Raw genomic sequence first — 22386 nt, forward strand, 5'->3', positions numbered from 1 at the left:
AGCAAACGAAAGGTGTGCTGTAGCCACAGGTGCAGGAGCTGGATGCCCCTGTGTCACAGGTGTTGGACCAGGAGAGTCATCGCCTGAAAGCCAAAGGGCATATGGCCTGGGGGCAGTTTTGTGTTCTGAGCACAGGCTGCCTGGAATTCAGCTAGCCGCTGTTAGCAAAACACTGCGGGTGTGAGACCTGCCTTGCCACGTACCTGGGAGCAGAGTGGGACTTAACTGCCGCCTGCTAATCCCCACTCCCAATGGGGATTCTTTTGTGCAGTAGAGGCAGCTGCACTCCTGCCTTAAACATTACCCCGCCAGCAGCCAGGGAACTGCCCTCTGATCCCCACTGGGGCCACTGCTTGTGCCTGCACGTGGGGAGCCAGAGCATGGACTTGCCTGACCCAGCCCACACCTGGTTTTGCTCCTCTATCTGCCCTTGTAGGGTAACACAATGGACAGGGACATTTGGGAGCTCCATGGCCCAGCCCATTGCCTGAAATACCAGAGTACCACCCCAACATAAGGCAAGCAGAAAATCTGCTGTCACCACTACGGCTGATCCTCTTTTGCAAGTGCCACCTCCCGGCTGGAGGCCAACCAGCACAGTCCATTTCAACATCTGCAAGCACAAAAAGCACAGCACTTAGGAAGAAGAAAACATTTGCATGACCTCAGCTATCATCATTGCCTGAGTCATTCTGGCTAACCAGGAGATCTTGAGTCTCTTCACTTGCCCAATACCTTACTGTTACAGCTGGTATTTGACAAAGCCAACACACTAAGGCTCTTTCTAACCAAGGAAATCTCAGTATCTACATCTTCCCGCCCACCCCCATCAGAGCTGGTGTGGTACCCACTGCTGGGAGACTAGAGGACAGGTCACACCTCTGGATTCCTTGCAGATATTCCACAGCACCAATCTGGAGTGGGACAGCATCACTTGACCGAGAGTCATAGAAGGATTCACAGTAGTCTGGCCTTTAGGGACTGTTAATCTTAAGGGAAGGGGGAGTGTACCACATTAAGGGAGCACCCTGTGGGACAAAAGAAACCAGATTGCAGGCCTTGAGCCTCTGAACTTTACACTAGTGGAAAGTTTCAGCAGAGGCACAGATGCAGTGCTGGGCTCAGTGGGGAAAGTCTGCAGCTCTACCCCAACAGTCAGGAAGCCCTTGTGCTTGTGAAGGGTCTTGGAGAAGGGGGCTTGTTCTCCCCTTTGCCTACCACTGCAGAAACAGCTGGGGCTTCTCCCACAGGAGCTCAGCGTAGGTGCATCTGTGGACAGCCTTCCTGGAACACTTCAGGGTTACTCTATCCTCAGAGGAGGAGCACTCTCCTCGTTCAGGCTTGTATGAGAGATAGAGTCACAACCCCTCTCTACATGGAACATCAGCATTCCTGCAGATGAAAAGAGGTGCCTGTCTGATCTCAATAGCCAGAATACTGGGTTAGGAGTGTTACTGGGAGGTGGGTCGCTTTCCTGCTGGCCTGGAAGGACGGCTGTGGTGCCTTCCTTCTTTCCCCTTGAAAGATGTCAGTGGATTTCACTGAGCACTTCCCCAGCCACCTCTGTCAAGGGTGGGACCTCTGCCCACCATTGGGATATTGCATTTATCACTGGCTTTAGCTACAGGCAGTTTTACCCATGGGCATGTCCTACTAGCCTGAAGCCTGAACTGTTCAACCCAGTGTATAAAATATTGGAGAAAAAAATTTAAAAAGTGCACATCACTGGGGACTGAAATAGGCTTCATGAGACCTCTGCTATTCTGGCCCCACAGGAGTCAGTGAATCTGCTCATATACCCGGCACATTGCTACTACAACCACCATCTGAGAAAGCCAGCATCTTGCACAAAGATTCTCTGTAACCAAGGAATTCACACAGTCTTTGCCACTGAAAGCCCCCAGAGCTGAAGCTAGATGACAATAAAGTCACATCCTCAAGGGGGAAATAAAACCCAGTTGAATAAAAAATAAATACGAAAATAATTAGTAAAAATAGTTTACCCAGATGAGAAAGAACCTGAAAAATAATTCTGGCAATATGAAAAAATAGGGTTCTATAACACCCCTAAAAGATCACAGTAACTTTCCAGCAGTGGATCCAAATCAAAATGAGATGTTCGAAATACCAGGCAAAGAATTCAAAAAGTTGATTATTAAGTTACTCAAGGAGATACAAGAGAGAGATGCAAACCAACATAAGTTTTAAAAACTATTCTGGATATGGATGAAAAATGTTCTAAAGAGATGGATATTTTAATGAAAAATCAATCAGAACTTCTGGAAAAGAAAGACACATTTAGGGAACTACAAAATGCTATGGAAAGTTTTAACAATAGACTAGATCAAGTAGAGGAAAGAATTACAGAGCTTGAAGCAAGGCTTTCAAATTAACCCAGTCAGACAAAAATAAAGGACAAAGAATCAAAAGGAATGAACAAAGTCTCCAAGAAGTATGGGATTATATAAATTGGCCAAACCTAAGAATTATAGTTATTTCTGAAGGAGAAGAAAAAACAAAGTTTGGAAAACCTATTTGAGGGAATAATTGAGGAAAACTTCTCCAGCTTTATTAGATATTTAGAAATCTAAATACAAGAAGCCCAAAGAACTCCTGGGAGACTTATTACAAGAAGAATATCATCAAGGCATATAGTCATTAGGCTACCTAAAGTCAATGTGAAAAAAAGAATTCTAATAATGGTAAGACAAAAGCATCAGGTAACCTACAATGGAAACCGTATTAGATGAACAGCAGAGTTCTCAGCAGAAACCTTATAGGCCAGAAGGGATTGGGTTCCTATCTTTAGTCTCCTTAAAAAGAATAACTGACAGCCAAGAATTTTGTATTGAGCAAAACTAGTTTTTATAAATGAAGGAGAAAGTCTTTCTCAGACACACAAATGCTGAAGGAATTTGTCAATACTAGACCAGCCATACAAGAAATTCTAAAAGGAATTCTAAATCTTGAAACAAAAGGTTGATATGCATGAGAATGGAAACCCCTGAAAGCATAAAGTTCACAAGGTTTATAAAACAATAACAAAATGAAGAGAACAAAGTCACTAGGTAACAACATGATGACTGGAACAGTACCTCACATCTCAATATTTATATTGAATGTAAATGGTTTAAATGCTCCACATAAAACAAGCTTGTCCAATCCACATCCCATGCACTACATGTTGCCTAGGATATCTTTGAATGCAGCCCAACACAAATTCTTAAACTTTCTTAAAACATTATAAGATATTTTTGCATTTTTATTTTATTTATTTTTATTTTGCTCATCAGCTGTCATTAGTTTATGTGTGGCCCAAGACAATTCTTCTTCTTCTGTTGTGGCCTAAGTAAGCCAAAAGATTGGACACCTCTTAACTAAAAGATACAGATTGGCAGAATGGATAAAATATCAAAAGCCAAATAAGTATTGATTTCAGGAGACACACCTAACACGTGAGGATTCTTATGGACTTAAGGTAAAGGAGTGGAAAAAGATATTTCATGCAAATGGAAACTAAAAGCGAGCAGGAATAGTTATTCTTATATCAGATAAAACTGTCTTTAAAGCAGTAACAGTAAAAAAATAAAAAAAAACATCATTATAGGATGACAGAAGGGATCAATTCAACAAGAAGATATAACAATCCTAAACATGTATGTGCCCAACTCTGGAGTACCCAGATTCATAAAGCAATACCACTAGATTAAAGAAAAGAGATAGCAACACAACAGTAGTTGTGACTTTAACACTCCACTGACAGTGCTAGACAGATCACTGAAGCAGAAATTTAACAAAGAAACACTGGACTTCAACTGCGCTCTAGAACAAATGAACCTGCACCGTAAACAAATGAACCTAATAGATATTCACGGAACATTCTACCCAAAAACTGCAGAATATACATTTTTCTCATCAGCACAAGGTATAACACATTCTCCAAGATAGACCATATGATAGGCCACAAAATGAGTCTCAATAAATTTATAAAAATAGAAATCACATCAATTATATTCTCAGACCACAGCAAAATAAAACTAGAAATCAATTCCAGAGGGAACCATCAAAACTGTATAAATACATGGAAATTAAACAATCTGCTTCTGAATGATTTTTGGGTTAACCATGAGATCAAGATGGAAATTTAAAAATTTTTCAAAATGAATGATAACAGTGGCACAAGTTATCAAAATCTCTAGGATACAGCAAAGACAGTGTTAAGAGGAAAGTTTATAGCGCTAAATATCTATATCAAAAAGTCTGAAAGATCACAAATTGGCAACCCAATGTCACACCTTCTTCTTAGAGAGACAAGAACAAACCAAACCCAAGCTAGCAGAGGAAAAGAAGTAACGAAGATCAGGGCAGAACTAAATGAAATTAGAACAAACAAACAAGCAGAAGTACAAAAGATCAGTGAAACAAAAACTGGTTATTTGAAAAGATAAACAAAATCGATAGGCCACTAGCTAGATTAACCAAGAAAAGAAGAGAGAAGATCCAAATAAGCTCAATTAAAAGTGAAACTGGAGACAATTACAATCAATATCACAGAAATACAAAAGATCATTTGACATTACTATGAACACCTTTATATGCACAAACTAGAAAACATAGAGGAAATTGATAATTATCAATTTCCTCGAAAACGACAACCCTTCTAGATTGAATCAGGAAGAAATAGAAATTCTGAACAGACCAATCACAAGCAGTGAGATTGAATCAGTCATTAAGAAACCAAAAACAACTGCCAAGAAAAATAAGCCCAGGGCCACATAGATTCACAGCCAAATTCTACCAGACATTCAAGGAAGAATTAGTACAAGTGTACTGAAACTATTTCTAAAGATTGAGAAGGAGAGAATCCTCCTGAACTCATTTTATGAAGCTAGTGTCACCCTGATATCAAAGCCAGGAAAGGACATAACTGAAAAAGTAAACTGCGGACAAGTATCTGTAAAACACAGATGCAAAAATCCTCAACAGAGTGTTAGCAAACCAAACTCAACAGCACGTCAAAAGAAATAAAAATTCACCATGATCAAGTGGGTTGCAGGGATGGTTCAACACGTGCAAGTCAATAAATGTGATTGATCACATGAACAGAATTGAAAACAAAACCATATAATCATCTCAGTAGATGCAGAAAAAGCATTTGATAAAAGCCAGCATCTCCTTATGATAAAAACCCTCAACTAGGCATAAAGAAACATACCTCAAAATAATAAAAACCATATATGACAAACCCACAGCCAACATCATATTGAATGGGACAGAGTTAAAAGCATTCCCCCTAAGAACTGGAACAAGATAGGAATGCCTACTTTCACCATTTCTATTCAACATAGTACTTGAAGACTTAGCCCGAGCTATCAGGCAAGAGACGGAAATAAAGGACATCCAAATTGGAAAAGAGGAAGCCAAACTATCTCTGTATGCTGATTATATGATCTTATACCTAGAAAACCCTTAAGACTCCTCCAAAACACTCCTAGATCTAATAAATGAATTAAGTATCAGGTTACAAAATCAATGTACAGAAATCAGTAACACTGCTATACACCAACAATGAACAGGTTAATAATCAAATCAAGAACACAATCCGTTTTTACAATAGCTATAAAAAAAAAAAAAAAAGCCCCAAGCCTAGGAATATACTTAACCAAGTAGGTGAAAGATCTCTACAAGGAGAACTGCAAAACACTGCTGAAATAAATAAAACAAATGGAAATACATCCCATGCTCAGGGATTGAAAGAATCAATATTGTGAAAATGACCATACTGCCTAAAGCAATCCTATGAAATTCCTATGAAAATACCAATATCATTTTCACAGAATTAGGAAAAACAATCCTCAAATTTATATGGAACCAAAAAGCCCAAATTGCTAAAACAATCCTAAGCAAAAAGCATAAGTCTGGAAGCATTACATTACCTGACTTCAAATCATACTACAAGGCTGTAGTAATCCAAACTGCATGGTACTGGTATAAAAGTAGATGCAAAGACTAATGGAACAGAATAGAGAACCTCTAAATAAAGACAGACACTTAAAACTAACTGATCTTCGACAAAGAATACAAAAACATAAATTGGGAAATAGACACCCTATTTGATAAATGGCGCTGGGAAAATTGGATAGCCACATGTAGAAGAATGAAACTGGATCCCTTTCTCTCACTATATTACAAAAGTTAACTCAAAATGGATTAAAGATTTAAATCCAAGACCTGAAACTATAAAAATTCTAGAAGAAAACCTAAGAAAAACTCTTCTGGACATTGATCTAGGTAAAGAATTTATGATAAAGACTCCAAAAACAAATGCAACAAAACCAAAAATAAATAAATGGGACCAAATTAAATTAAAAAGCTTCTACACAGCAAAATAAATAATCATCAGAATAGACAACCTGTAGAATGGGAGAAAATATTTGCAAATTATGAACCCAACAAAGGACTGATATGCGGAATATACAAATAAATCAGCAAGAAAAAAATCCAATTAAAAGATTGGCAAAAAAAAAAAGCATGAATAGACATTTCTCAAAAGAAGATATACAAGTGGCCAACAAATATGAAAAAAATGCTCAACATCACTTATCATCAGGAAAATACAAATTAAAACCACAATGAGATACCACCTTACCCCAGCCAGAATGGCCCTTATTTAAAAAGTCAAAAAGCCATAGATTCTGGCATGGATATGGTGAAAAAGGAACACTTACACACTGCTGGTGGGAATGTAAAGTAGCACCACCTCTGTGGAAAACAATATGGAAATATTTCAAAGAACTCAAAGTTAATCCACTATTTGATCTAGTAATTCCACTGATGGGTGTCTACCCAAAGAAAAAGAAGTCACTGTATCAAAGAAACGCTTGCACGTGTATGTTTATTACAGCACAATTTATAATTGCAAAGAAATGGAATCAACCTAAGTACCCCTCAACTGATGAATGGATAAAGAAAATATTGGTGTGTGTGTGTATATATGTTTTATATATATCTATTAAATTTATGTATATTTTACATAAAAATGTTTATAATTTTCTATTTTTATATATAATTAATATATTAAAATATGTGTATATATATGTGTGTATGTTTGTGTGTGTATATATATATGTGTGTGTGTAGAATACTACTAAGCTGTAAAACGAATGAAATAATGTCTTCTGCAACAACTTGGATGGAATTGGAGGGCATTATTCTAAATGAAGTAAATGAGGAATCAAAAACCAAATACTGCATGTTCTTACTTATAATTGGGAGCTAAACTATGGGTACATAAAGGCATACAGTGTGAGTTAATGGACATTGGAGACTCAGAATGGGGAAGGGTGGGAGGGATGTGAGGGATGAAAAACTACTTTTTGGGTACAGTATATACTATTCCGGTGACAGGTGCATTAAAATCCTAGACTTCACCACTGTACACACATTTTAAAACATCATTATTGTATAAAATAAGTATATAGAATTTTTATTTGTCGATTAAAATAAGTTGAAGCAATTCAGGGTTTATATTTTTGGCAGGAATATCACAGAGGTGATGTTTTCTACTAAGTGCATTGTATTTGGAGGCACATATCTGCATGTCCCATTACTGGTGATGTTAACTTTTGATTATTTGGCTAATGTGATGACTGCCAGGCTCTCTACTATGAAATCACTCTTTTTCCCTTTGTAATTAATATGTGCTTTTTTGGGGCGGGGGGTGGGGTGGGAAATACTATGAGACACTGTAAACTTTGCTGCACTAATCATCCATTGATGATTCTTGCCTGAATCAGTTATTTCTGTGATGACTGGCAAATATTGATTTTTAAATCCCATTGTTCTTGCTTTATTAGGTGGCATTCTTTTGTAAGAAGTAGGTTCCCCCTTTTCACTATTTATTAATTTATATTGTTATTAACTCATAGGTTCTTACTTTATTCAATGGATTATAATTTGTTACTCTCAAATTGTACCAAATGTGGCCGATGGGAACCCATTCAAGCTGGCTTTTATGTCTTTTTGACATGTCCACATTGTTCTTTGAATACTACCTTGTCTTTGGCACAACAAAATGTTTCAGACTCAGCTTGTTCTTTCTCAGCCTGAGTCCTAGAACCAATCATCTCTCCAAAAAGCCCTAATTCCTTTAAATGGAGAAGGGCTTTAAACACCAAGATTGGTATTAGGTTAGTTTAATGTGTTTAACTATAAATGTTGAGACTGGGATACTAGAAACATTCATGGTTCTTTTCAAAGATCTGATAGTTATCCTAGTAGTTCTTAAAAACTCATTCATCATAACACAGAAATGTTAAGAATGAACTATCAACTCTAAGCACTTATTTTTTTGCATTGTCTGATATCGACATGTCACTTGCTTGATTATGGGAAGTACTGGATGACTCAGTTAAATGGAGGCAGGTGAGTGAGGTCAGGAATATTCCTGCTGAATGGTGACTTGGGGCCAAGAAAAATATTAGTTCTGGATTTGAGTGTTCAGACTCTGCCAAGTATCAGTCACCATCAAGTTTCCATGATACCCTTTCATTTTTTAGGTATCACATGTACATACAGCTCAGTCAATAATTTTCCTTTGGATGGGAGTAGTGTTGCTACTTAAATATGATTGATCCTCTTTTTTTGTTATTTATGAGCTGTAGTTGTAATCAATGAAATGTCTTATTAATATTCTCAGAATATTTAAATGGTACATGTAACTAGAAGGAATATTGAGTTTTTGAATAACCTTGAAGATTGAAAAGACACTTTATTTCAGGAAAAGGAAACTATTAATAAGCTTGGACGAATATGCTTCAACTCTAGAATTCTGAAAAAAATCAGAAAACTAAAAACTTCTGAAGCTCTATTTGAAATCTCTCTTCAAATTGGTAAGCACATATTTTGATATTTAAGATTTCATACTGTGTCAATAATTCATTTTAGGGAAACTTTGATAGCATCATGGAATTATTACTTGGAAGCATAAAGAGGAAGTCTATTTAAATAATCTTTGGAAACATAAAGAGGAAGTCCGTTTGAACAACTAGAATCTATGGATATTCTTGGTTAAATTGGATTTACGTTACATTTTAAATTAAAAGTTGAGTTTGAAAGATTATGAGATTGACCAGTCTTTAAATCTTTCTTCATTAAGTATATATAGAATGAAGTATTTTTCTTTGGTTTAACATTCTTTAATATAATTAATTTTTTTTCTGCCTAAAGACCAATTATAAAGTTTTTTTGACAAAAATTATGATCACAGGTAAAATGCACCAATGATTTTTCTTAAAAACATATTTTTAAGCCTCATTAAAAAAACTTTTATATTACACGTTTTAAAACTATATAATTGGCCAAGAATCAGATTAATGTTTTGAAATGTATATTGGTTTATTTTAGGTCAATTTCTGCAAAATAAATTTTCAAAGATTAAATGCACTGAAGATGTCTACAGATGTAGATTAAAGCTTCTTATTTTGATTAAGATTTTAGCTAAGGTAAATATGTTAGCTGTAGTTTTTCAATTCAAATGATATTTAGGGAAAAGTGTATACTTAGCATGATTTAATTTGCTGATAATTATCTTAGGATTTTAGCTTTAGAAAAATTAACTTATTAAATATGGGAACTAGGAAAGGCATTATTTTCATTTAGGGAACTGTGTTATAATGTTATTTCAGTTTTTAAATGAAGATAGTTATCTAGTATAATGTTATCTAGTATAGTGTCGTTGAGAACTGTATCATTTGTAATATATACAGTATATTGTACTTTGTTTAATAGTTTTCTTATCAGGGTCATATGAATTATGAAAATTCAGTCCACTGGCAAGCAGATCTGATGTCTTAAAACTAAATGGTTCTGTCATTTAATTAGCGCTTGTGTCTGATATTCAGATTCCTAATTTTGTTCTTTTATTTTCCATAAAATATGTGACCATATGCAATAATAGGGTAAGAAGATTGTTTTACTTTAATGTGTATTAGGTTTCTGGATATATGTGAAAATATTTGTAGTACTTAAAAGATTTGGAGTTACCATAATATGCTTAAGAGAACTTTTTTCAATCACATTAAAAAGCTTTAGGTGATAAACAACTAATTGGTTTGAGATTTTCAAGACAATATATTGAACTCCCCTTCCCCCAAAGAAATTTGAATATTATAAAACTGTTCTGTATGGTTTTTCTCCTAATAATTTACAGTTAGGTTTTTCTGTGTGAATCTCATTCTGTACTTTGTCCTTCCTGACACCTGCCCTGTTTTTATTTCCCCTCTATTACCTACTTTTGACGGTGGTACCACCACGTGCTGTTTCCCCCAAGCTAAAATCGTGGAATCATTTTTAACTTCCATTTTCCATCACCCACCATATCTAATCAGTCACAAGTCCTAAAAGTCAAAACAAGCAATGCTAACATCGATCCTCTATTCTCCATTTCCTTTCATGTTTTATTCATTCAGCGATGTTTATCGAGTGTCCATTATATGCCAGGTACTTGCTGATGAATACAGCAGGGAACAAAATGACAGTCTCGCCCTCTGCTACTTATAGCAGAGGAGATAAACACAATAAAAAAGTAAATAATAAGACAATTACAAATTGTTATAATTGCTGTGCAGAAACTAAAGAGTGAAGATAAGAATCAAGCGGGGGGTGGGGGTGGATGGGGGCCGCACACTACTTTGGCGAGGGCAGTTAGGGTAGAGCTGATTTTGAACCAGCCATTCGGGAATTCTGGGCCTAGAGGATAGCAAATACAAAGGCCTGATGCCAGACAGGATTTCACAGGTTTCAAGAACAGAAAGGAGTTCAGTGCTGATGGAAGGCATTCATTGAGAGAGACTGGGCTGGAAATGTGGGAGAGGCAGGCAGGAGATTACTTACAGAATTCTACTGTGTTTCAGAAAGGAGTTTGAATTTTTATTCTAAGAACAATGAGAGCGTTATAATTTGATTTATGTTTTCAAAATATCACTTTGGAGAGAATGGTAGAAAAAGAGAGATCAATTAGTAGGCTATTATGGTAGTCCCAGGTGGAGACATGATGATAACTTGTAGGGTAGTAGTAGTGGTAATGGAGGAACATGAACAAATTTCAGATATATTTTGGAAGTAGAACAAATGATGCATACTGATGTGTTGGATGTAGGGAGCAAGTTTCATTTTAAAATGTCCTTGATGAAGTGGTAAAAGAGTATTATTCTTATCAAATGTCAACTTTTGAGTATATGTCTTTTAATATGATGTGTGAAATGGGAAGTATGCTTAAAGTTCTACTGCAGCAAATCAAAGTTGTCTCAAGGAAAAGCATTTCTGCAGTTGTGCAGCAAGGTGAGTAGCTACCGTTTTCATGGAACACCATGTTTACTTGAAAGCAAGACAATATTCAGACAGGCATTTCATAGATATTTTTAGGAAAACAAACTGCCTATCCTTTAAAGGAAAACAACTGACATTACTTGTTGTTAATGATATTTGAACTTTTAAAGTAAAAATTAGAGTTTTGGGAAACCTGTATTCATCAGTATGACCTTGACATCTTCTTGGTATTTAAAGACTTTTTGGATGAGATTAGTGGTGATGTTGATTAATGTGATTTTTTTTAATGGTATAATGAAATAGCCAACATTTAGAAGATCTAAATAACTCAGTGGACTAAAAATTTTCAGATGACCAATGTAAAAATCTTGTAGAATAAAGATCTTTGCAAAGGGCAAGATAGACCATTGGATTTTAAGAGTATGAAGGCTCATTGAAATAATTTGAGTCTGCACACTGCAGTTTGGGAACCTGCCACCTGTCAAATTTGGTATAGTATGAAAGAAGAATACAATGATATGAAATGGTTATTGAAATACTTCTCTTTTTTTCACCTATACATTTGTGGAAGGACAGATTTTTTAATATATAGCCATGTGCCACATAATGATGCTTTATGGACTGCATATAAAACTTATGGTTTCTTAAGATTATAATGAAGATGAAAAATTCCTATTGCCTAGTGATATCATAGGTATTATAATGTTTGTAGTGCAATGCATTACCTTTTCCATGTTTAGATACAAAAATACTTACCACTGTGTTCGAGTTGTCCATAGTATTCAGTATAATAACATGCTATACAGGTTTGTAGCCTAAGAGCAATAGGTTATACCATATAGTGTAGGTGTGTAGTAGGCTATACCATTTAGGTTTGTGGAAGTACACTCCATGATGTTCATACAATGACAAAATCAACTAAGAATATATTTCTCAGCACATGTCCTCTTCGTTGAGCAACATACGTCTGTACTTCAACCGAAACAATGTGTCTCAACAGATTGAATGCAGAAACGTTTTCTATGAGGATAGACATTAAGTTTGCAAAATGTAAAACAATGCTTCCTTTCTAACTAATTTTTGGAAAATGTAGCTATTTATTTTATATATATATATAAAATGGGCTTATGTTATTGGTAAATAAATTAGTATGTATTTTTAAAATTTCTGAGTTTTAATTTCCAAAATGGAGATGGAGAATATATGTGGATATAACCCACACAAACAAAAGGCCTTTTAGAGACCTCAGGTAAAGAAATGTGGAGACCTAAAAGTTTGAGAATTGTGGAACTGGGTCAATTAAGTAGATGGTGATACATGTAGAAATAAAAAAAAGATTGGAGGAAAAGTAAGTTTTGTAGTGCATGAGAGGTGGAATGCTTTATTCTGGTGGAAACACCAAGTGGACAGTTGGATGTAGGCGTTTATAGTTCAGAGCTCAGGATAGATACCTGCAGTGAAGATACAAATTTCAGAGTAATCATATAACAGTAGTAGTCAAGGTCATGATCCTGGCCAGACATGGTGGCTCACGCCTGAAATCTCAGCACTTTGGGAGGCTGAGGTGGGAGGATCACTTGAGCCTAGGAGTACAAGACTAGCCTGGACCACATAGTGAGACCCCATCTCTACAAAAAATAAAAATTAAAAAATTATAAAAAAATTTAAAGGACATCATTCTGGATGACTTGAGAAGCGTGTAGGTTACAAAAAAAAAAAAAAATTCAGGTCTTGGAGCACTCCAGCATATATATAAGTTAAATAGAAAAGGGAACTTAGAATAGCTAGGAGAGGAACCAGGACAATGGAACACTTCAGGAAAGTGGGTTAGTTGTGTTGAAAGCTGGTGGGGGATGAGTAAGAGGACCCTCATGATGGCTCTCGTCATCTCTTGTCTGTATTGGTGCAGTAGCCTGTTAACTGGCTTTCTTGCTTGTGGTTGTGCCCCTCTGTCCTATTGCTAAAAAGATTGTCTTTCAAAGATAGTGAACTTCTCTCTCTCTCAGCTACTTAAAACCTAACAATACCTCTCTCATATCAAATGGATATCATAATTTTTTTCCATGAACTGACACTTGTCTATTTTTAGATTAATCTTTTGCTACTAACTCCCCACCCACCGTCTCCCACAACTCACCAACTTTAGTTTGAAATTACTTATAAAGTGGTGTGTACTATACTTTTTACTGTTTTGATGTGTTCTTTCCTCTTCTCAGAATTCCTCTCTTCCTTAGCTCATCTTTTCCTATTCATGATTTAAAACCCAATTCAGGCAGCACCTTCTTTGGGGAGTTTTTTTTGTTTTGCTCGAAGATTGGTTGCCAGATTTGTTGAATGTGATGATAGTTTTTTCATCATTGATTTTATACTTAATTTGTAGCAATAATTACTTGATTTTTCTTGACATGCGTACATGCATTCATTCATTAAATAAATATTCCTTCAGCCACCTATTTTGTACCAGGTATTGACGTAAGCACTGGTGATACAGCTGTGGATGACACAAATGTGTCCCTGAAACATGGAACTTACAATCTGGAACATTGAATACATATTAAAATATTTTATATATTAAAATATATTTTTGTTTCATTTTATGAAAGGATTAGTGGTACGAGATACACTATTTGGTGTTCTGAGGGCATGATAAGTAATGGTGTTAAATCAATATGTAAACACTGACATATTCTATAATAACATTAAGAACCCACTGAAGTCTGGGCGTGATGGCTCACCCCTGTAATCCCAGCACTTTGGGAGGCCAAGGCGGGTGGATCACCTGAGGTCAGGAGTTCCAGACCAGCCTGACCAACATGGTAAAACCCTATCTCTACTAAAAATACAAAATTTAGCTGGGCGTGGTGGCACACACCTGTAATCCTAGCTACTCAAGAGGTTGAGGCAGGAGAATGACTTGAACCCAGGAGGCAGAGGTTGCAGTGAGCCGAGATCACACCGCTGCATTCCAGCCTGGGCGACACAGCGATATTGCGTCTCAAAAAAAAAAAAACCCACTTACACATGGAATTATGTTAAATATATTATGCAAATAATTTTTATTCATCGTACTTACTGTAATATGTATATGTTTTCATCCACAGTTCCTGCCTCATAACTCCCATAATGCTTGTTATAGCCTTTTGCTCTAATATTGGGGTGCCTCAGGGCTCAGAAGGAGTCCTTCTAACAATCTCTCTCTGTGAACTTCTCCTGCCCTTTCACCTCCTTCTTTCTCTCCTGAAGGCAGAAGTCTTCCCCTACCTTTCTGTCTTGGAGATGGCCATAAAGAAATTCTCTGACCTGCTTTGTCTGATTGTAGATCTTTTTTTTTTCATTATACTTTAAGTTTTAGGGTACATATACACAACGTGCAGGTTAGTTACATATGTATACATGTGCCATGTTGGTGTGCTGCACCCATTAACTTGTCATTTAACATTAGGTATATCTCCTAATGCTATTCCTCCCCCGCTCCCCCACCCCACAACAGGCCCCAGTGTGTGATGTTCCCCTTCCTGTGTCCATGTGTTCTCATTGTTCAATTCCCACCTATGAGTGAGAACATGCAGTGTTTGGTTTTTTGTCCTTGCGATAGTTTGCTGAGAATGATGGTTTCCAGCTTCATCCGTGTCCCTACAAAGGACATGAACTCATCCTTTTTTACGGCTGCATAGTATTTCATGGTGTATATGTGCCACATTTTCTTAATCCAGTCTATCATTGTTGGGCATTTGGGTTGGTTCCAAGTCTTTGCTATTGTGAATAGTGCTGCTATAAACATACGTGTGCATGTGTCTTCATAGCAGCATGATTTATAATCCTTTGGGTATATACCCAGTAATGGGATGGCTGGGTCAAATGGCATTTCTAGTTCTAGATCCCTGAGGAATCGCCACACTGACTTCCACAATGGTTGAACTAGTTTACAGTCCCACCAACAGTGTAAAAGTGTTCCTATTTCTCCACATCCTCTCCAGCACCTGTTGTTTCCTGGCTTTTTAATGATCGCCATTCTAACTGGTGTGAGATGGTATTTCATTGTGGTTTTGATTTGCATTTCTGTGATGGCTAGTGATGATGAGAATTTTTTCATGTGTTTTTTGGCTGCATAAATGTCTTCTTTTGAGAAGTGTCTGTTCATATCCTTCGCCCACTTTTGATGGGGTTGTTTGTTTTTTTCTTGTAAATTTGTTTGAGTTTATTGTAGATTCTGGATATTAGCCCTTTGTCAGATGAATATATTGCAAAAATTTTCTCCCATTCTGTAGGCTGCCTGTTCACTCTGATGGTAGTTTCTTTTGCTGTGCAGAAGCTCTTTAGTTGAATTAGATCCCATTTGTCAATTTTGGCTTTTGTTGCCATTGCTTTTGGTGTTTTAGACATGAAGTCCTTGCCCATGCCTATGTCCTGAATGGTATTGCCTAGGTTTTCTTCTAGGGTTTTTATGGTTTCAGGTCTAACATTTAAGTCTTTAATCCATCTTGAATTAATTTTTGTATAAGGTGTAAGGAAGGGATCCAGTTGCAGCTTTCTACCTACTGCTAGCCAGTTTTCCCAGCACCATTTATTAAATAGGGAATTGTTTCCCCATTTCTTGTTTTTGTCAGGTTTTCAAAGATCAGATGGTTGTAGATATGCAGCATTATTTCTGAGGGCTCTGTTCTGTTCCATTGGTCTATATCTCTGTTTTGGTACCAGTACCATGCTGTTTTGGTTACTGTAGCCTTGTAGTATAGTTTGAAGTCAGGTAGTGTGATGCCTCCAGTTTTGTTCTTTTGGCTCAGGACTGACTTGGCAATGCAGGCTCTTTTTTGGTTCCATGTGAACTTTAAAGTAGTTTTTTCCAATTATGTGAAGAAAGTCATTGGTAGCTTGATGGGGATGGCATTGAATCTATAAATTACCTTGGGCAGTATGGCCATTTTCACGATATTGATTCTTCCTACCCATGAGCATGGAATGTTCTTCCATTTCTTTGTATCCTCTTTTATTTCATTGAACAGTGGTTTGTAGTTCTCCTTGAAGAGGTCCTTCACGTCCCTTGTAAGTTGGATTCCTAGGTATTTTATTCTCTTTGAAGCAATTGTGAATGGGAGTTCACTCATGATTTGGCTCTCTGTTTGTCTGTTATTGGTGTATAAGAATGCTTATGATTTTTGCACATTGATTTTGTATCCTGAGACTTTGCTGAAGTTGCCTATCAGCTTAAGGAGATTTTGGGCTGAGACAATGGGGTTTCTAGATATACAATCATGTCATCTGCAAACAGGGACAATTTGACTTCCTCTTTTCCTAATTAAATATCCTTTATTTCTTTCTCCTGCCTGATTGCCCTGGCCAGAACTTCTAACACTATGTGGAATAGGAGTGGTGAGAGAGGGCATCCCTGTCTTGTGCCCGTTTTCAAAGGGAATGCTTCCAGTTTTTGCCCATTCAGTATGATTGAAGGTCTTAACACCATTTCAGAAGGCGTTCTGCCCCATACTCTGGGGAAAGGAATGCTGCACAAAGAGGCCAAGAAGAAGCTGAACAGACAGGCCTGGCTGGGTTTTCCCACTCAGTCTGTTAGTATTTGATCATATCTTTTTTGTCCAGTCACATTTCTGTATGGTTGTCAGTCATGCCTAGCCAATGAAATCTCCACAAAAGGCCCAAGTGGCCAGGTTCAGGGTGCTTCTGGATAGCTGAACACATTGGAGGTTCCTGGAGTGTGGTGTTTCTGGGGAGGGCATGGAAGCTCTGCAACCCTTCCCTCATACTTGCCCCATGCATCTCTCTATCCTTATGCTTTGTAATATTCTTTATAATAGACTGGTAAACGTATTTCCCCTCCTGAGGTCTGTGAGCCGCTCTGGCAAATAAATCAAACCCAGAGAGGGGGTCAGGGGAACCCCAACTTGACGTGGGTTGGTCAGAAATTCCAGAGGCTCGGACTGTGACTGGTGGAAAGGGGGCGGTGGTCTTGTGGGACTGAGCCCTTAACCTGTGGGATCTGTTGCTATCTCCAGGAAGATAGTGTTGGAATTGAATTGGAGGAAACCCAGCTGGTGTCCACTGCAGAACTGATTATTTGCTTGATGTGTGGAGAGAAACCTTTACACATTTGGTCACAGAAGTCTTATTGTGATTGTTGTATGAAAGCAGAGGAAAAACACAGTTTGTGGCTTTTTTCACTCTTTTTAAGTTTACATTCAATATGAGAAATTTATTCAGAATTTTATATCTGAGCAGAGTCTCCTTGACCTTCTTTATGGGATACTGTAGAAATGAGTTCTTTATGTAGATTTTTAGAGTAAAACACTTTAAGTTTCTTTGAGTTTTATGTTTCTTTTTTCATTGTTTTATTTGCTTAGACATTGTCACGTATCAGTAGCTATAGCAAAACCACTTTATTATAACCTAGTACAGAATTTCTCAAAATGTCTTCTTTGGATCAGTCAGACTGTGGGATATTTTAAAATGTCACACAAAGAAAGCAAAGCAAAGAAACGAAACTTAAGAAACTTTTACTAATTGCAGGCCTGCTTGGATCTTTTACTGTGCTATTCACTATGACTCTTCAAGAGAGATTCATATAAAAAATGTTATTTCATAGGGGTCTTTGACCAGGAAACTTTTTCTTTTCTTTACGGAATATCTTGTGAAACTGTCTGTGGGACACCGGGTATGAAATGTTGATTTTAATATTGGATTTCATGCTAAAAGGTATTTGGATTCACTTCTAGGATTATCCTTCATCCTCCTCCCGACCTTGAATCCAATACTGCATAAACATGATTATTTATCATGACCAAGTGGGGTTCATCCCACAAATGAATATTGCTTTAATATTCAAAATTGAATCAATATAATTCAACATTTTAACAGATTAAAAAAGAAAAAACATGTAATCATTTCAAGATACACAAATTTTTTAATAAAAATCTAACATCTATTCTTTGTAAAAACTTCCAGCAAACAATAGAAGGGAATTATCAACCTGATAAATCAGGGCATCTATAAAAAATGTATAGCTAACATAATACTTATTGGTGACAGATTTAATACGTTTTTCCTAAGATTAGGAAAAAGGAAAGGATGTCTGCTCTCTACTTCTATTCATTGTACTGGATGTTCTATCTATTGTAGTAAGGCAAAAAAACTACAGAAAAGCTACTTGGACTAATAAGGAAGTTTAGGAATTTTGCAAGATACAGGGTCAATATACAAAAAACGTTTTATTCCTATATACTAACAATCAGAAAATTGAATTAAAAAACCCCACCATTTACAGTAGTATCAAAAAATATAAAACACTTAGGAAATAATCTGAAAAAAGATGTGAAAGACCAGTATAATGAAACTGGAAGCCATTATTGAAAGAAACTTAAATGAGATAGTCTGTGTTCATGGGTTTGAAGACCCCATATTATTAAGATGTCAATTCTCCCCAAATTGATCTTTAAGGTCAACGTAATCCCAATCAAAATCCCAGCAGTGTTTTTTTAGAAAATCGAAATAGGCTGATCGATTTTACAATTCGTATTAAAATCAGACACGTAATTAAGTAAATATCAAGACTTTATAATAAGCTATAGTAATTAATACTGTAGTTTTATATAGAGTAGTAATAGTACAGTGTAGTAGGTACACTGTAGGGCAGTAGTACACTGTATAGTGTACTATTGTTGTTAGTGCAAATAAATAGCCAGTGCAACAGCAAGGAAAGTGCAGATACCTATATGTGTGTGTGTATATACGTGTATGTGTGTGTGTATATATATATATATATATATATATATATATATATAAAAACACATGATCATTTGGTATATGACAAAGATGACCATAGCAGCAGTGCAGTGTGGTAAAGGATAATTTTTTCAATATATCATTTGAGGTCAGTTGGATATCCATAAAGAAAAACAAAGATTGACTTTGCCTTATATCATAAAAAAACTTAATTCCAGATGGTTTGTAGATCTAAATATTAAAGGTTAAAAAATAAAGCTTACATTAGAAAATAATATGAGCACTTAGAGTAGAAAAATAATTCATACATAGTACACAAAGCATTAATCATAAAGAAAAAGTTTAAATACTTAGACCACATTAAAATTATGAATTTCTATTCATTAGTTCATGGAAAGATACCATTGGGAAGGTTTTAGAAAGACAAGTCACAGGGTAGAGGAAGAAATTTGTAATACAAATGAACCATGCCCAGAATATTTGTATTGGTTTTTAAAGAGTATGATGAAGTGAAGATGTGTTTTAGTTGTTCCATCAGTTAATCCCATTTAAAAGGGAAGCTAGTTTTTTGAGTCTTAGATTTTGGTCATAAAATAATATTTATAGAGAACCTAGAAACACGTGGTGTTGAGTAGAATCAGTGCAAATGTAGTTCCTGGAGTGTAAGGGCTGTGTGTCATTAAATATTTCAATTTTTGAGTCTTGTGCAATGCCTGACATGCAATTACCTTCAGCCTATGTATACTGAATTAATGGATGAAATGCTTTATAATTACAAAGTATGCGTAAAAGAGTAGACACTCATATGACGACTGGCCTTTTAAGTTTAAATTTAAAAAATCACAGTAAGCAGTTGGATAAAAGAAAGTACTAACATTTTTAGACTATAAAGATAAGGTGCATTTTAGGGATGTAAAACATTGAGCATAATTTTAGGGAGCTTACTCTGTTACTTAGCTTCTCATAGTGGCAGGGTAGAGGAAAGTATCTTTGATCTAAAAGGCAGAATGCAGAAGAAGGAATTTCATCTCAGGAAACAGGATTTTCTAAGCAAATAATGCTTTTGGAGAAGTGGAAATGGTTGAGACAGTGAATATTTGTGGGAGCTAACTAGAGCTTGGATTTAGCAAATGGCAAAAGAGTGTGGTATATCTCAGTGAATTTTTGAAGCATCAAGTAAATCTCTAGCATTTGAATGCATGTGTCGGTGTATGATGAATGATGTGAATTGGTAATGATTACATTATTTAAATTTCAACTTTACATTTTTGCAGAGTTCTAAAGTTCCTGTTGCTTCAGACAATGGATGAGCAATCACAAGGAATGCAAGGGCCACCTGTTCCTCAGTTCCAACCACAGGTAATTTATCCTAATTAAGATGGGCAGAACTATATATAATCTGTGTTAAATATGTGTAAGAAAGTAGTACATTTACAGTTCCTTTAGGAAATAAAGTAGCACAAAAGTGCTAATTTTGAATTTCCAAGTTTTAATCAGCATTTTTTTTTTTTTTGCTTTGTTTTTCAGTTTTGTTTATGGCTTTTGGTATAATTGTTTTAGGTGTAATTAGTACACTTTTTAGATATAATTATTTATGTGTAATATATTATTTATTTTAATTGATACAGTACAATTGCACATATTTTTAGGGTGCAGTTTGCCATTTTGATAGAAATATTTATTTTAAAATATTGTTTGATAATGCTTAGTTCCCATTTACAAACATGAAAACAAAAAGGCAGCTTTAGCTTTTAACTTTATTTGAATGACCTGTAAGCTCTGAGCGTTAGTATTAGGTTTAGGGAAGGAAGAGGAAAAAAAAAAAAAGGTGAGACTGTGCCTAAGCTTGGGAGTGCCAGTACATTTTGTACCTGCCCCTGCTTTAGTGAGCTGATCTTGCCTTGCCCACAGCTGCCTTCCATGATGGTGACTTTTCTCTCCCTATCACTTGTAGTGTATTTCTCCTGTGATATATTTGCTTGTTTCTTGTATTTAATAACATAAAATGAAATAAAAAAATCTTTTAGTAAAAAATGTACACATATTCATTATTTAGCATCCTGCATTCAGTATGAATACTTGTCATAAAGCTAACGTGTAATGACATGTTTAAAATAACAGTTGCCACCCCATGTCAGGGCAATACCTCATTTTTATTGCTGTTGTTCCTGAAGACTATATTTCTCAGCTTGGTGTTTGAGGCATTCTACAATATGTCTCATGTATACTCTGCTAACCTTGTCCCAATTTTGTTTGGACGGTATTTCTGAAAACATGCCTTTGGGCTACTGATAAGTGTTCTTTCACAAGAGTTCTATAGTCAAATAGGTTTGAGAGACTTGGGGAAAACAGTGACTTTGTGGCAGTACTTCCTCAGAGCCTTTCCTACACTAGTGTGCATTGTGAATGAATTTCAAAGAGTGGTATAGGCTGTAGTGTTTTCCAAACTTATTTGTCTATGGGATCCTTTTTTTTTTTTTTTTTTTTAGTGCATCTATTGACTTCTCATGGAAGCACTGTTTAGAGAATAACCGTCTACAAAAAACGATCTTTTCTGCTTGTATGACTTTGCTGATTTTGATTTTGTACCCTCCATCTTCCCCTCCAATTTTCTAAATCCTGCCCATCCTTTAAGGACCAACAACAAAGCCGTCTCTACCATAAAGCTTTGTCTGATCCTCTGAAAGCAGTCTTTCCTTGGAAATGTGGCGGTATCTTCTTTGCATCTCTCTTCTGGTATTCTGATACTTTGGTGTCATTTTTATCTCTCTTATTAGGTTAAAATCTCCTTGAGGGAAAGGACTGTGTCTTATTTACCTTGGATGCCCTCTGGTACTTCAATTTCTCACCTGTAGCAGGGGCTCAATAAGAATATGTAATTGAAACCAACCAGGGACTCAATGAAATGAGTCCTTTACTTAATTGCACTATTACATTGCTTTTCTTTGTTATACCTGTCTGAATTGTCTATATTGAGTAAAAAGACCCTTTAGCTTAAAGTAAGGCCAATATTTTGATTTCAAGAAGAATTTTTTTTTTTAAGTCCCCATATATATTTATGTTATGATCATAAATTATCAAGATTATAATAAACAAACATATCTATTAAACATAGACCTCTTAGGACTCATTTTACACACATACACAAACATTATTGTTTCATATTATTTCCAGCAAAGGCAATAAAAGAACACTTTTAAAAATTAGGTAGTTCATGTTATGATTTTGAGATTCACAGTTTTAAACAACCTTGTGTTTCAAAGAGGAAAAAAAGTAAGCACTTTCATTTTTGCCTCCTACTGACTCACCAACCAGGAAAGGTCGGAG

At 36.0% G+C, this 22386-nt stretch overlaps 1 protein-coding gene across 17 annotated transcripts in view; it reads left to right on the top strand.

Annotated features, from left to right (window-relative positions):
- The window catches only part of NEK7 (NIMA related kinase 7), a 165423-nt gene that overhangs the window by 55222 nt on the left and 87815 nt on the right, over positions 1-22386 (top strand). For 10 of the 17 annotated variants that reach the window (XM_047446560.1, XM_047446563.1, XM_047446572.1 and 7 more), the window contains exon 2: positions 20334-20418. In XM_047446560.1, the coding sequence (XP_047302516.1) occupies positions 20362-20418 (57 nt within the window). In that variant the 5' untranslated portion in view covers positions 20334-20361. Of the gene's footprint in view, positions 1-8779; positions 8892-20333; positions 20419-22386 lie in introns of all 17 variants that reach the window. The other 7 variants (XM_017000345.2, XM_047446562.1, XM_047446567.1 and 4 more) reach the window with 1 other exon arrangement.

This window comes from Homo sapiens, chromosome 1 (assembly GCF_000001405.40).
Source record: "Homo sapiens chromosome 1, GRCh38.p14 Primary Assembly".
Classification (NCBI taxonomy): domain Eukaryota; kingdom Metazoa; phylum Chordata; class Mammalia; order Primates; family Hominidae; genus Homo; species Homo sapiens.